The sequence below is a fragment of the Homo sapiens genome, chromosome 2 (genome assembly GCF_000001405.40).
Source record: "Homo sapiens chromosome 2, GRCh38.p14 Primary Assembly".
Classification (NCBI taxonomy): Eukaryota; Metazoa; Chordata; class Mammalia; order Primates; family Hominidae; genus Homo; species Homo sapiens.
The window spans coordinates 31,545,432-31,561,635 of record NC_000002.12 but is presented as its reverse complement, the minus strand read 5'-3'; the positions used below and the strand labels follow the sequence as shown (position 1 = coordinate 31,561,635).

At 37.6% G+C, this 16,204-nt stretch overlaps 1 protein-coding gene across 3 annotated transcripts in view; it reads left to right on the top strand.

Moving 5' to 3' along the window:
- SRD5A2 (steroid 5 alpha-reductase 2) overlaps nt 1–16,204 on the top strand; it is a 140,530-nt gene that overhangs the window by 101,374 nt on the left and 22,952 nt on the right. Inside the window, exon 1 of one of the 3 annotated variants that reach the window (XM_011533069.3) lies at nt 2,117–3,183. The exons of the other annotated variants lie outside the window; for them this stretch is intronic. Within the exon in view, the coding sequence (XP_011531371.1) occupies nt 3,125–3,183 (59 nt within the window). The 5' untranslated portion in view covers nt 2,117–3,124. Of the gene's footprint in view, nt 1–2,116; nt 3,184–16,204 lie in introns of those variants that run through there. 3 annotated transcript variants of the gene reach the window in all.

The window sequence follows — 16,204 nt, the reverse complement described above, 5'->3', positions numbered from 1 at the left end:
ATACTGAGTGGACAGTTCCAAGGTCTCCCAGTATTACCAGGACATGCCATAAATACTTAAAAACATAAGCAGGGAACTTAAAGGTTTTCTGCTGTATTTTAGATATTCACAAGCTAATCATCTCAAAGATTTTGCATGATTTAAATGGATCTGCCAGATTAGGACCATTAGATAGTTAAAACCAGATAACATTTGCATGGGGTTGACAATGGGATGTGGCTGCCCTGTCTTCCAGCATGGCAGAGTAAGATGGGAAGAAGTCTTGAGTCATTGCTCTTTGGGGAAAATATCATTATATGTCTAGGAGGCCTTAATATTTGTCTTACTAGAGAAAGTAATTAGGTTAATATTGCTGTGCTAATAGAGTCTTGGAGCCTGAAAACTGGGCTAATCCACACTGTAAATACTGGAGGCCGTGTGTTTCCCCAGTTAGGGCACACTTGGAGAGGAGTCAGGTGTGCTCTTTTACAAATCTCATTGCATTATTATTGAGCTCTTGGAAAGGTGCTGAGTCTTCATTTTAGAAAAAGGGATTAGATGTGGAGGGAATCACTTTGCTTTCCCCAGGGAGGCATTTCTCTATTGCTTTTCTAGGGTTGGGATAGGTATATAGAAGGTTTGATTCTAGAATTTATAAAATGATATTCTGGGAACTTTGAGCAATATTTTAGGGAGGGCACCCATCCAAAAAACTAGATGAGTTGCTGCCTTTCTCTGCAACAGCCCTTAGGAGACTAGCTTCTGATCTTCTTCCTAAACTTGGTATCCAGTTTATTTTGCTTGTCTTCCTGCAGGCCATTCTTGTGGAGACACCGAGTAACAAAGTCTTGAAGTAATGTGTGACAAGCTCTGTAGGGCTATAGGATTATAGAGCAGCTACTCAGAGGGCAAGGGTATGAAGAAAAAGAGCAGGTGCATAAAAGGAACAGGGAAAGGGGAGTAAAAGGAAATGGGGAAAGAGGTTTAAAGGAGATACAACAGTAAAAAGAAGAAAAGCTGGGAAAGGAGAAAGGAAGCGCAGCAAAAAAGGTGGAAAAAGAAGAGAGAGTGCTGATGCAGGTTTTTCAGGGGCCTATATTGGGCAAAGCATTGAACAAGTTACACCCAAAGGCCAGGAGCCTGAAATCAGGTGCCGGTTCTCAAATAACAAGGGCTTATTAAGAATCAGTGCTATTGCCTAGGATAGTTAAACAGAAATACAAAAAGTGCTGGAGAAGTTCAGGGAACTGTGAGATATAGAGGGAAAATCAGGGGAAGATGGACAGGAGATGGGAGCTCTAGACACCCTTAGACATCTTGGTTTCAGGTTCATTGGTCAGAACTCTCTCCCCATCCCCACAGTCTATCTAGATGCTTACATCAAAGGCAATGCTTGCTTGACAGATTTCTAAATAGCAGTAGCAACAAGATGGAAAGAAGAATGGAATGTCCCATTAGAGGATATAGGGCCAGGACTTCAGAAAGAGTTCATATATATTAATCACATGTCTTAGAATATCCTGGAGCACCTGTCCTCTCACCTACCTAAAATACTTGATTCCCAATGGTCAATGACTTTTTAAAAAAAGGGGGGGGGGGGGATTGGTATGTACATAGATATTGTGGGAACGTACAATTTTTTAAAAAGTGATGATAAAGTTCTATAGGTACCTTCACAAACCACTCTGTTCTACTTAAATCTTAACAGTTCCTGGAGGAAACTTTGAGATTACTCTTCAGAGCTTACTTTGGTGGTTGGGGTGTGTTGTATGGCTTTGTGTGTGTGTGTGTGTGTGTGTGTGTGTGTGTGTGTGTGTGTGGGTTTGTTTACTTTTACTTATGGGCACTGATGTATTGGTTACTAGAAAGTTCATAGATAAATTTTTGTCCTATTCAGTAGACAAACATACCTGACTTGTTGACATAGAGTCTAGGTGCTAACTTCATTAGTCAATTCACCTTACTTTCATATCTTTATTTTCATTTGCCTCCTTTTTCTTTAAATTTTAGGCCATCTTACAGCACTTTATACATCTATGTTTATGGCCTTAAATCTTTTCTTTTTCTTTTTTTAAGAGCAATTTGGGAAGAACTAAAATAAAATTGAAATACAAATCAACATTTTTTGTTTTATGCAAATGTATGTTAAAATATTCAAAGAATAAAGAGGTTTTTTAAAGAATAGTAGGTTCTAGCACGGCTCAGTTAAAATATGGTATCACTTAGTAAGAAACACTTTCTAAAAAACAATTTATATTAGCCATAATTAAGAAAAAAAGGGATATTGAATAAGTCAAAGAGTGGTTTCCAGGGAAGTCTTTCTTTGTCTGGAAAGATACCATAGGATTTTCTGCAGACAGCTTACTCATTTTTTTCTTGATTGAAATCTGGAAAGGAAAACTTGCAAGAAAACATTCCATTCTGGACTCGGCAGCAGGTCAAGCCAAAGTGGCAACATTTGCAGCCTGGAGATCACACAGTCTGGGAGCTCAAACATTTAGGCAATAAAAGCTGATGGAAGCCAAAAAGCCACGCCACTGGCATCTGGTGTCAGGGTAGCTGCTGGGGGAGATCTGGCCATGGTGGTGGGGCCCAGCCATATAAACAAGTTCAGAGGTAGAACTGGAGCTGTGTACTGGGTTGAAGCATGTCTCTCCTAAATTCATGTTTTCTCTAGAACCTTAGACTATGACCTTATTTGGAAATAGGGTCTTTGCGATGTCATGCATTGCTTAACATTGTGGTTACATTCTGAGTAATGTGTTGTTAGGTGATTTCATCATTGTCCAAACATCATAGAGTGTACTCACACAAACCTAGACGGTACAGTCTCCTACACACCTAGACCATATACTATATCCTATTGTTCCTAGGCTGCAAACCTCTACAGCCTGTTACTGTACTGACTACTGTAGGCAATTGGGGTACAATAATCTAATGAGACTATAATCATATATTTAGTGTGCCATTGACCGAAATGTCATTATGATGCATGACTGTAGTTAAGATGAGGTCATACTGGATTAGGTAGGTTCTAAATCCAATGTGACTAGTGTCCTCATAAGAGGAGAGAAACAGACACAAACACAGGGAAACACCGGGACGATGGCCATCTGAAGACAGAGGCAAACATTGGAGTGATGCAATGACAAGCCAAGGAATGCCAAGGACTGCAAACCATTGCCAGAAGCTAGGAACACTCAAGTAAGGACTCCTCCCTAGAGCCTTTAGAGGAAGCATGGCTCTGCCAACCCCTTGATCTCATACTTCCAGCCTTCAGAACTGTGAGACAATACATTTCTATTGTTTTAAGCTATCCAGTCTGCGGCAATTTGTTATGGCAGCCTAGGAAATTAACACCAGGCATACTTCAGAGCAGGACAGGTCAAGGGATAACCAAATAGGTCTCCTGTTACTAGAATTATTTACAATGTCAGAGTAGTTCTTGATGTTTACTTGGCCCTCTCTTGGCAAAGGCTCTTTGTATTTTCCTACACTAAAGGTCTGGCCAAGTAGGGGTTCAGATTCTCTTCAAGTATAGAAACTCCCCCCGATTTTTATGTTTGCTGGCCTTCCAAGTAAGATTTCCATTGAAGAAAATGCTCCATGGCTAAAAAGCTTTAAAATCCATTGGTATTATCGGCAGATTTGGACTCTATAGAGCCTAGTTTCTAAAGTGCTTCATAGTGCCGATCTGAAAGTGAGATAGCACTAGTCCTATCAGAGGATTGTTCAACCTGAGACTCTGCATCAGAAGGTCAGGCAGCACTGACCTGTGTCAGGCCTGGAGCAGGCTCTAGGAGGCTGCTTTCGTGATGAGTTCCTTTTTGTTCAGGAGAATATAAGGAAGCTGGTCCTATTTTAGAAGCAATAACAGCCTTTGAGTTTGCTCTAGGGCAATTGCAAAATCAAGAGCCCCCAGGGTGCTGTACTCCAGATTTCTAGGTCACAGATATCCAGACCAGAGTTGACCAGAAATTGGCCAGAATGGGTTCTGGGGATGTGGATGAATTTCCATTTCTCATCCATTCCTACTCCATCTCCATTTTATCATTCTCCATTCCTACTCCCTCAATACCAAAATTAAAACAAATTGTTGATTACTAGGTAGCCTTCACATTGAGTTTTTCCTATGGTATAACCCTTGAAAAAAATTGATCAACCAGACCATTACAAGAAAAAAAATTATGGTTTTACTGAGTTAAGCCTTTTACTAGGTTTTGCGGTCCAATTTCTCTGTGTAGACATAGACTTGGAAAAGCCAAAACATCTAAGCAATGCAAATTTAAACAAATTAGTTAAATCTGCCACTGGGAGTCATTATGTCATTGGCTTTTAACCTGGCTGCACATTAAAATCATCTGGGGGAACCCTTAAAATGACTTCTGCTCAAAGTCATGTGCCCAAGGTTGTGATTAATTTGTCTTCAGGGTGATTCCTCCCCTTTAATATTTCTAAAGCCACTCAGGTGACTTGCTTGTGCAACCAGGGGTGTAATCCTCTGATGTGGACATGTGACTGCAATAGAGGAAAATGCTAGAGAGCAGATACTCTGGAATCAGTGCCACCTGGACTTGAATCCCAACTCTGATATCTCATAATTATGTGACCTTGGGCTAACTTAGTCTCATTGTGCCTCAGTTTCCTTCTCTGTAGAATGGGAATAATAATACCTATCTCCTAGGGTTGTTATAAAGATTAAATGAGTTAATATGGGCAAAGTACTTAGAACATTGCCTGGAACATAGTACGCAATATATAAATATTAGTTGTCTGTCGTCCTTTGCTGACATTTCCCTTACTGGATGTCTGAACTGAAATTGATCTCAATAGTGTAATATTACTCCAACAAGTTATATTAACTTCCTGTGACTGCTGTAATAAATTACCACAAAGTGGCTTAAAACAAAATAAATCTTACTCTTACTATTCTGAAGGCCAGAAGTCTGAAATCAAGGTGTCAGCAGGGCCACACTTCTTCTGGAAGCTCTGAAGGAAAACCTGCTCCTTTCCTCTTTCAGCTTCTGGTGGCTATTGGCATTCCTTGGCTTGCGGTCACATCTCTCTTTGCTTCATCTTCATATTACTTCCTCCCCTGTGTGTCTTTCTTCTCCTGGTATTTCTTGTATAAGAATCCATGTGTTTGCATCTAGGGCCCACGTGGATTATACAGGATGAGCTGCTTTTCTAAGGATTCTTAATGTAGTCACATCTTTTGCCATAGAAGATAATATTCACTTTTTTTTGCTATCATAAGGTACTATTCATAAGTTCCTGGAATTAGGACATAGAGATATCTTTTTGGGGTCTACCATTCAACCCACTATACAAGATGGCATAATAAAAAGTAAGCTTGGATGGGAGGCATCACTGACTCATTCTGTGTTTAGTGGACTTCACATTTGGCCTGCACATCCCATTCTCTAATATGTCTAAAACCATTATTTACACAACAGGTACCATCCAAATATACAAACAAGTGACTATTTATTGTCAATGTTTGTAGTTACTTCTCGGCAAGGACCCACAGAAGTGGAGCAAGTGCTCAGAGGACTGGTTGGCCCAATGGCCTTTGGCATATAGAGAGCTCCAACAAGGAAAGGCTTCCTGGTGGTTTTGCTCCAAAGAGAACAATTTTTTGAGAAACTCTATTTTGTGCTAAAATGTGTACCCAAAATCTCACCAATGATGGCTGTTTTTTATTTTGTTTTCATTTTAGAGATATGATCTCACTATATTGCCCAGGCTGGCCTTGAACTCCTGGGCTCAAGAGATCTTCCTACTTTACCCTCCCGAGTAGCTAGGACTACAGGCTGCATGACTACGCCTGGCTAATTTTGGGTTTACATTTGGAAAAGTCTGATGCTTATTTTAAAAGAGAACAGGGTGATGCTACATTATCAGGACATGTTTTCTGTCCCAAGTGATAGAAAAATCAATCTGAATAGGCTTAAGTGAAACCCTAATTTATTAACTCTCATAACTGGAAAATTCCAGCTTCAGGTCCAGATCAATGCAGTGGTTCCAAAGATACTATCAGGACCTGGTTTCTTTCTCCAGCTCTTGGCTCTACTTTTGCTGGCTGTAGTTTCAGAAAGGCCGTCCTTAGGTACTGGCAAGACAACTGTACTAAGACCTACATTCTCTCAGGTTCAAGGCACATGAAAATAAACAGTCCTAGAAAAAAATGTAAGCAAAACCTTACCGAGATTTGTTGGGTTGAATACTCATGCCTGAGACAACCAATGTGATAGCACCCCTTCCTGTTCTGTTTGGCCGAGGACCTTGGAAAGGATGACCCCTCTTAATACATGGGCTAAGACTGTGGAAAGAGGTAGGTCTGTTCTGAAGAACCAGTGTAGGTACCATCAGAAGGGAGAATGAATATTGGGTGGCAAATACAACAGATGACCACTGTAGATGCAATTAGGTCCTTGGACTAAAATGTCTGAAATCCAAACCTGGGTTTTCTTGAGCGACATGTGGGATTTTTTTTTTTTTCTAGTTGTGTGTGTTGGTCACAATTTCCCTTTCCACTTGGAAATAAGTGAGTTATTTTGAAGCAGAAGACCCACATTTAAATTCCATCTCTGCTGCCTCTTTGTAGCTGTGTGGCCTTGGGCACATTACCTTATGTCTGTAAGCTTTAAATTCTTCACTGGCCTGGCGGTAACACACACACACACATACACACACACACACACACACACACACACACACACACACACACACGATCAGGATAGAGGCCATCTTACCAGGACTATTCATCACCAGGGCACATAAACAGAATAAGCCTACATGAACACAGTCTGATTGATACCGAAGAACCATCTGTCCCTACATATTTTTCATGGTCCTGAAACATGTTGGAAATTTCTACCATTTGAGTAATGGAAGGAATGTTTAAAGCAACATGTTTCCAGAGAGCCAGGTGAAAAATGCAAATTGATGCCAGGGAAAAGCAAAATGAAATCCTGCATCACTGACTACTCCTTATCCGCCACCTTAGAAGGGATGAGCCAAAGTCACCTTGTGTGATCATTCTCAACATGCAAGGCAACCATCAAGAGACTTCAGGCAAAATGATCTTTCTGTTTTTCCACATTTGTTTTAGGATTCTTCTCTAACTGCTTCTCCTGAGGCAGTGTTCCCTGGGGATATCCAATACCACAGGGAATGTCCATATTGAAAAACTATACCTAGAGCTCTTCTTTCTCCAAGTTGTCTCCAGTTGCAAAAATGACCTCTTCATCTCCGTAATCACAGTGCTCATTTTCACAGTGGAGTTGCTATTAGGTAGGGCAAGTACCATCTGATTATGAATTGATTAAAGCATTCATATTAAGCATGTGTGAGTGACAGGCTCAACTTTTTTTTCAGGGAGTTAGTGTTTATCTTCAATCTTCTAGATTGAGGTAAGACATTTTTTGAGAAAGATACCCGGGTCTTTTTCCCTTTCTCCTAGATCGGTTGCAAGTGTACTCACAACAGATGTTATGTGGTATTCTACTTCTAAAAGACTGTTGGCCGTAGGTTTTAGCTATCACTTGGAAGATAACAAGTAGTAGAATTATCCTTCCTGTTATGGGTAGGAAGGAATTCCTACGGATAGGAATTATCTCAAGATCCCTCACAGATGTGCACTATCATGCTCCAAAAGGTTTATTTTTCCTAGAAATTGACTAGCCTTCAAGTCTTTTCAGTTCTCTTATCAAAACTTACTACTCCTTTGTCCAAACCCTTTACTATTCCTTTGTCCAAACCTCCGTAACCCCTGTTACAGCAGCCACAGGGAGCTAATATACCTTGTTGGAGTTATATTAGACCATTGAAATCAATTTTAGTTCAGACATCCAGTAAGGGAAATCTCAGCAAAGGACCACAGACAGCTAATATTTATATATTGCTTACTATGCTTACTATTCCTTTGTCCAAACTCCTCAAATATCCTTCCTTTAGATTGCAGAGTAGTATTCTGTGGTGTGGACCTACCTCAGTTGAATTGGCAGTTTTATTTTTCTTCAGCTGTTTGAATGTGTCATTCCACTGTCTTCTGGTGTGTAAGGCTTCTTATGAGAAATCTGATGGTATTATTGATGTGTCCTTGTATGTGACGTGTCACATTTCTCTTGCTGCCTTCGACAATTTCTTTGTCTCTGTATTTTGGCAATTTGATTGTAATGTGTCTTGGTCTAGATTTCTTTATATTCATCCTATTTGTGGTGCTTTCAGCTTCATGAATCTGAGTGTTCATTTCCCTTCTGGAATTTGAGAAATTTTCAGTGATTGTTTCTTTAAATAAGCTTTTTTTCCTATTGTCTCTCTGCTTTCCTTCTAGAATCACCATAATGTATATATTTGTTGTCTTGATGATGTCTCATATGTCCCTTAGGCTTTCTTAACTCTTTCATTCTTTTTTCTTTTGCACTTATAACTGGATAATTTCAAATAACTTGTCTTTGAGTTCACTGATTCCTTCTTAGGTTTGATCAATTCTGTGTTTGAAGCTTTCTATTGATTGTTTTTCTTTCAGCAATTAGATTCCTCAGATGCAGAATTTGTCTGGTTCTTTGTATAGTTCCTATCTTTTTACTGAGAATCTCATTTTTCAGGTATTACTTTCCTGATTTCCTTTGGTTGTTCATATGTTTCCTCTCGTAACTCATTAAACTTCTTTATGATAAGTATTTTGAATTCTTTGTCAGGCATCTAAAAGATCTCCACTTCTGTAGGGTTGGTTGCTGGAGATTTGTTTTTTCCTTTGATTGTGTCATGTTTCCCAGATTTTTTATGTTTCTTGTAGCTTTGCCTTGGTGTCTGCACATTTGAAAAAACAGCCATCTCTCCCAGTTTTTATGGAGTGGTGTTGACAGTTAAAGACCTTCATCAATTAGCCCAGCTAGAGATTTGGAGAGCCTCTCACATAGCAAGCTGACTGCCTCTTTTCCTTTGTTCTTAGCTGCCCCCATCAAACTATACTCATTCTGTCAGTCCTTTGGGTTGAGTGGAACAGGGACTGGCATTCTTCTGGCAATGTAGTGAAAGACCAAGAGGTTGGAGGTATACACCACTCTTCTCTCTTCTTGGTGAGATGCCTAGGTTCTGCAATTTCTCCCAATCTCACAGAGCTCTGCTATCCTGTAACAATCTGTTTACGCCCTTTCCATTGTTGAGTTGACCGAGGGGTCCAAACTATGGCAGTACTGTCAATGTTCCATGTGGGGCAAGATAGAAACTGTCCCCTTGGACAATTCACTGAAAGACTGGGATGCCGGATGGTCATTCCACTTCTCTTCCCCTCCTAATGAGAGAAGTGTGGGTTGAGGCAATATCCCTTGGCATTGATCTGTGCTGGCTTTGGGGAGAGGCTGACATAGGTAAAGTGTAATTGCTCTTCTTATTTGTTTTAATGTGGCTGTTCTTCATTTTGTGCTCATCTAGGATGCTTGCAACTTCTCATAAAAGTAGTCTCACAAAGGTATTTTGGTGTGTATATTATTGTTAGCTTGATGTTTCTGTGGAATAATGAGGTGAGGGACCATTTATTCTACCATCTTGCTGATATCACTCCCCTGAAGTGCAAAAGTTTTAAATTTTGATGAAGTCCAATTTATGAGTTTTCCTTTTATGGATGGTGCTTTTGGTGTCAAGTCTGAGACCTCTTTGCTTAGTCCTAGATCCTGAGGATTGTCTCCTGACTGAAAGGCTAATTTTCCTCCATTGATTTGCTTCTCCACCTTTATAAAAAATCATTTGAGCCTATTTTTATGGCTCTATTTCTGGGTCCTATATTCTGTTTTGTCAATCTATGTGTCTATCCCACCACCAACAGCACATAGTCTTGATCACTATAACTATTTAATAAGTCTTAAATCTGATAGGAACTCTGACTTTTTTTTTCCAATTATTTTAGTTATCCAAGTTCCTTTGACTTTCTGTATACAGATGGTCCCTGAAATTCAACAGTTCTACTTAAAACTTTTTGACTATATGAAGGTATGAAAGCAAAATGCATTCAGTAGAAACCATACGCAGTGTCCACACACTGTTCTGTTTTTCACTTTTAGCACAGTACTATTAAATAAATTGCATGACATATTCAACACTTTATTATAAAATAGGCTTTGTGCTAGATTATTTTGCTGAACTGTAGGTTAATGTAAGTGTTCTGAGTAAGTTTAAGGTAAAGCAAGCTAAGCTGTTATATTTGGTGGGTTAGTTGTATTAAATGTATTTTCAACTTCTGATATATTGAAAACAATGGTTTTATCAGGAAGTAATCTCATTGTAAGTTGAGGAGCATGTGTACATTTTAGAATTATCTTGTCTATATTTTTTAAAAATTTCTGGGATGTAATAAAAATTGCATTGTCATTTTGGGGGAGAATTAATATCCTTGCTATATTGAGTCTTTTAATCCATGAACATGATATGTCACCATTTAAAAAAGATCTTTAATTTATTTTATTAATTCTTTGGAGTTTTCACTATAGAACCCTTGTACATGTTTGGTTAGATTTACAACAAAATATGGTAGTTTTGGGGTCATCGTAAATTTGGTGATATTTTTAAATTTCAGTGTCAACATATTCATTAGTAGCAAATAGAAATTTAATTGTGTATTTTGTATCCTGCAAATTCACTGAAATAATCTATTAGAAGTGAGGGGTTTTTTTCTGTATATTTTTGGGGATTTCCCACATAGATAATCATGTGATTTGCAAATGACTTTTATTTCTCCTTTTCTAATCTATAAATTTTTTTCTTACCTTATTACACTGACTAGAATTTCTAGCATGTTGTTGAATAAAAGTAGTAAGAATGCACATCTTTGTCTTGTTCACGATCTTAAGGAAAAAACATTCAGTTACTGACTGTTCGATATAATGTTAGCTGTAGATGTTCCTTATCAAGTTCAGGAAGTTTTCCTCTACTCTTATTTTCTATTTCTTATAATTTTATCATTAATAGAAATTGAATTTTATAAAATTTTTAAATGATTGATATAATCAGGTTATTTCTCTTTTTTTATTCTGTTAATAAGGTGGGTTACATCAATTGATTTTTAAGTATACCAGCCTTGCATCTCTGAACTATATCTCCAGTTGGTCATGCTATATAATTCTTCATATAGAATTACTGAATTCTGTTTGTTAAATGTTTTTGCATCAATTTTTATGGGGACTAGTAGCCTGTAATTTTTTTCTTGTTCTTCTTTGCACTGTCTTTATCTGGTTTATCTTTACCTTTTTTTTTTTTGGATTAGGGTAATACAAGCTTTATAAAATGAATTGAGAAGCTCTTCTATTTTTTGGAAGAAATCACATAGAATTGGTATTAATTACTTAAATGTTTGGTAGAATTCTGCAGTAAAGCCATCTGGACAAGGATATCTCTATTTTGGGGATATTGAAAATTAAGAAATAAATTACCTAGTTTATTTTTTAAAGTGGTTACAAAAAACAAAGATGAATGTAGTTTTTAATTTACCTTGAGACTTGGTCTTTGATCCATGAATTATTTAAAAGTATGCTGTTTAGTTTCTAAGTTTTGGAGAATTTCTTGTTATTATTATGTCTGATCTCTGTTTTGTTTCTATTATGGCCAGGTGACATATTCTGTATAATTTTACTTTTTAAAAATTTGTCTAGGATTGCCTTATGATATAAGATGTGGTCTACTGTGGTATATATCCCATGGCCACTTGAAAAGAATGTGCATTCTGCTGTTGTTTGATGCTGTGTAATAGAAATGTTGATTATATCTTGTTGGTTGATAGTGTTGTTGAGTTCTTTTATATCTTTGCTGATTTTCTAGTTTTCCTAGTTTTCTGGTTTTCCTATCTATGGTTTAGAAATGGGTGTTGAAGCCTTCAGCTTTAATAGTAGATCTATTTATTTTTCCTTCTGGTTTTGCTTCATATAATTTGCCAGTTTGTTGCTTGATGCACACACATTTAAGACTTCTATATCTTCATGGTTAACTTACCATTTTATCATTATATAATGTCCCTCTCTAATTCTGGTAATTTTGTTTGCTCAGAGTCTACTTTATCTGAAATTAGTATAGTAACTCTACTTCATTTTTACTTTTAACATTTATTATTTTTTATTGTGGCAAAATACACATAATAGAACTTAACATTTGAACCATTTTGAGTGACATTAAATACATTCTTAATGTTGTGCAACCATCACTTCTATTTAGCTCATGACTCTTTATCTTATAAAACTGAAACTCTGTACCTAGTAAGAAAATAATTCACGCCTGTAATCCCAGCACTTTGGAAGGCCGAGGCGGGTGGACCATGAGGTCAGGAGATTGAGACCAACCTGGCTAATATGGTGAAACCCCCTCTCTACTAAAAATACAAAAAATTAGACTGGTGTGGTGGTGGGCACCTATAGTCCCAGCTACTTGGGAGGCTGAGGCAGCAGAATCGCTTGGACCTGGGAGGCGGCGGTTGCAGTGAGCCGAGATTGTGCCACTGCACCCCAGCCTGGGTGACAGAGTGAGACTCCATCTTAAATAATAATAATAATAATAATAATAATAATAATAATAATAATAATAATTCCCTCTACTTCCAGCCCCTGGAAGCCACCATTCTACTTTCTGTTTCTATGCTTTTGACTACTTTTAACTACCTCATATAAGTGAATCATATGGAATTTGTCTTCTCGTGACTGGCTTATTTCACTTAGCACATTGCTCTCAGGGTTCATCCATGTTATAGTACGTGTTAGAATTTTCTTCCTTTATAAAGCCATTGTAAGTATATACCACATTTTGCTTATCCATTTATTCATCTGTCAATAGACACTTGATTGCTTCCACATTTTAGCTATTGTGAATAATGCTTCTATCAATGTGTGCACAAATATTGCTTCAAGACCCTGTTTTCAGTTCTTTTAGATGCATATTCAGAAGTGGATTTGCTATGTCATGTAGTAATTCTATTTTTAATTTTTGAGTAACCACCATATTGTTTTCCTCAGTGGCTGCACCATTTTACATTTCTACTATCAGGGCACAAGTGTTCCAGTTTCTCCACATCTTTGCCAAGACTTGTTATTTTTTGTTTTCTTAATAGTAGCCATCTTAATTGGTTTGGTTGGAGATGGTATCTCATTGTAGTTTTGATTTTAATTTCCCTAAAGATTAGTGATGTTGAGCATCTTTTCAGGTTCTTATGGGCCATTTGCATAGCTTCTTTGGAGAGACATTTATTCGAGTCCATTGCCCAATTTTTTGTTGTTGTTGTTGAGTTTTAGGAGTGCTTTATATATTCTGGATGTCAATCTCTTGTCAGATATATGCTTTGCAAATACTTTCTCCCATTCTGTGGGTTGCCCTTTTCCTCTATTAATAGTGTCTTTGATGTACAATTTTAAAGATTCTCCATGAAGTTCAGTTTTTCTGTTTTTTCTTTTGTTGGCTGCACCTTTGGTAGCATATCCAAGAAATCACTGCCAGATACAGTATCATGATGCTTTTGTCCTACGTTTTCTTTTAAGAATTTTATAGTTTTTTTCTTATATTTAGGTCTTTGATCAATTTTGAGTTAATTTTTCTATATAGTATTAGGTAAGGGTCTAATTTATTTATTTTGCATATGGATATCCAGTTTTCCCAGCATGATTTGCTGAAAAGACTGTTCTTTCTCCACTGAATGGTCTTGACATCTGTTTTAATCAGGGTTCTTCAGAGAGACAGAATTAATAGGAGATATATATCTATATCTATATCTGTATCTATCTAACTATATCTATATCTATCTATCTATCTATCTATGTAGAGAGAGGCGGGGGAGATATAAGAAAGGATTTATTAGGGGAATTGACTCACTTGATTATGTAGGCTGAGAAGTTTCATAACAGATCATCTGTAAGCTGGAGTGCCAGGGAAGCTGGTAGCATGGCTCATTCCAAGTCTGATGGCCTTAGAACCATGGAAGCCAATGTTGCAATTCTCAGTCCAGGACTGAAAGCCCGAGAGCCTGGAGAATTGCTGGTGCAAGTCCTAAAGTCCAAAGACCAGAGAATCTGAACTTGTCTCATGATACAAATATAATCTACCATGGTATATAGCCCATGTACACTTGAAAAGGGTAGAAGAAATGAATTCTGGCTCCAGAAGACAGATCAAGAATTTGTCCTTCCTTTACATTTTTATTCCATCACCCACATTGAGGGCAGATCTTCTCCACCCAGTCCACCAACTCAAATGCCAATCTCTTCCAGAAACACCCTCACAGATGCACCTGGGGTAGCCCAATCATTAGAATCAAATGCTAAATCACTTGGGTTTCCCTTTTACAGAAGGGAGACATGATCAGTTTCTACTGAAGCATTGAGAATAATTTGTACTTTATCAGCTGCTGGGTATCCCTTAATCCAGTCAAGGTCACATCCAAAATCAACCATCATAGCACCCTTGTCAAAAATCATTTAACCATATATATTAGGGTTTATTTCTGGACTCTGTATTGTATTTCACAGGTCTATGTGCCTTTTAGACTTTTATTTTTATTTTTATTTTATTTTATTTTATTTTTTGAGATGGAGTTTCACTCTTGTTGCCCAGGCTGGAGTGCAATGGCGCCATCTCGGCTCACCACAACCTCTGCCTCCCAGGTTCAAGTGATTCTCCTGCTTCACCCTGCCTAGTAACTGGGATTACAGGCATGTGCCACCACGCCTGGCTACTTTTTTGTATTTTTAGTAGAGACAGGGTTTCTCCATGTTGGTCAGGCTGGTCTTGAACTCCTGACCTCAGGTGATCCGCCCTCCTTGGCCTCCCAAAGTGCTGGGATTACAGGTGTGAGCCACTGTGCCCAGCCTATTTTTATTTTTTTTAACTTTAAAATAAAGTTGAGGGGGCACATGTACAGGTTTATTACATGGGTAAGTTGCACGTTGCTGAGGTGTGGTGTACAAACGATCCCATCACCCAGTTAGTGAGCATTGTAGCCAACTGGTAGTTTTTCAGCCCTTAGCCCCCTCTCACCCTTCCCACTTTATTAGTCCCCAGTGTCTGTTCTTTTTGTCTTTATGTTCAAGTGTACTCAACGTTTAGCTCCTACTTATAAGTGAGAATGTGCAGTATTTGTTTTCTGTTCCTGTATTAATTTGGCTTTGAATAAAGGCCTCTAGCTGCATCCATGTTGCTGCAAAGGACATAATTTAATTTTTTATGGCTGCATAGTATTCCAAGATGTATATGTAACATATTTTCTTTATCCAGTCCATCATTAATGGGCATCTAGGTAGATTGCATGTCTTTGTCTTTATAGGCTTTTATTGTCTATATGCCAGTACTATATTGCTTTGATTACTATAGTTTTTAGTAAGATTTGAAATCAGGAAATGAGAGTCCTCAATATTTTTTCTCCTTTTTCAAAATTGTTTTGGCTTTTTGATGTCTCTTGAGATTCCATTTGAATTTTATAGTGGACTGTTTTATTTCTGAAAAAAAAAAGTCATTGGAATTTTGATAGGGATTGTATTGAGTCAATAGATTGTGTTGGTAGTATGGACATTTGAAAAATATTGTCTTCCAGTCCATGAACATGGAATGTTTTCCATTTTTATATTCTTCTTTAACTTCTTTCAGCAATATTTTATAATTTTTTACTGTACAAGTCTTTCACGTCTTTAGTTAATTCCTAAGTATTTTATTTGTTTTGATGCTATCGTAAATGAGACTTTCTTAATATCCTTTTCATATTGTTTATTGTAAGTGTATAGAAATGCAACTGATTTTTGTGTGTCAACTCTCTATCCTGCTACTTTGCTTAATTCGTCTATTAACAGTTTTTTAAAAATGTATGTGGAATCGTTAGAGTGTTCTAGACACATGATCATATCATCTGTAAGCAGAGATAATTTTAGTTCCTTCTTTCTGATTTGTATCTCTTTGATTTCTTTTCCTTGTCTAATTGCTCTGGCTAAAACTTCTAGCACTATGTTGAATAGAAATGGCAAAAGCAGCACCCTTGCCTTGTTCCTGATTTTAAAAGAAGAGCTTTCATCTTTGAGTACGTTTGCTTTGGGTTTTTAATATACAGATTTTATTATGTTGAGGAAGTTGCCTTCCATTCTCAGTTTGGTTGGTGCTTTTATCATGAAAGAGTGAATTTTTCAAATGCTTTTTCTGCATCAATTAATTGACCACGTGTTTTACCCTCTGTAAGCCTGACAACGCTATGGATTACACTGATTGA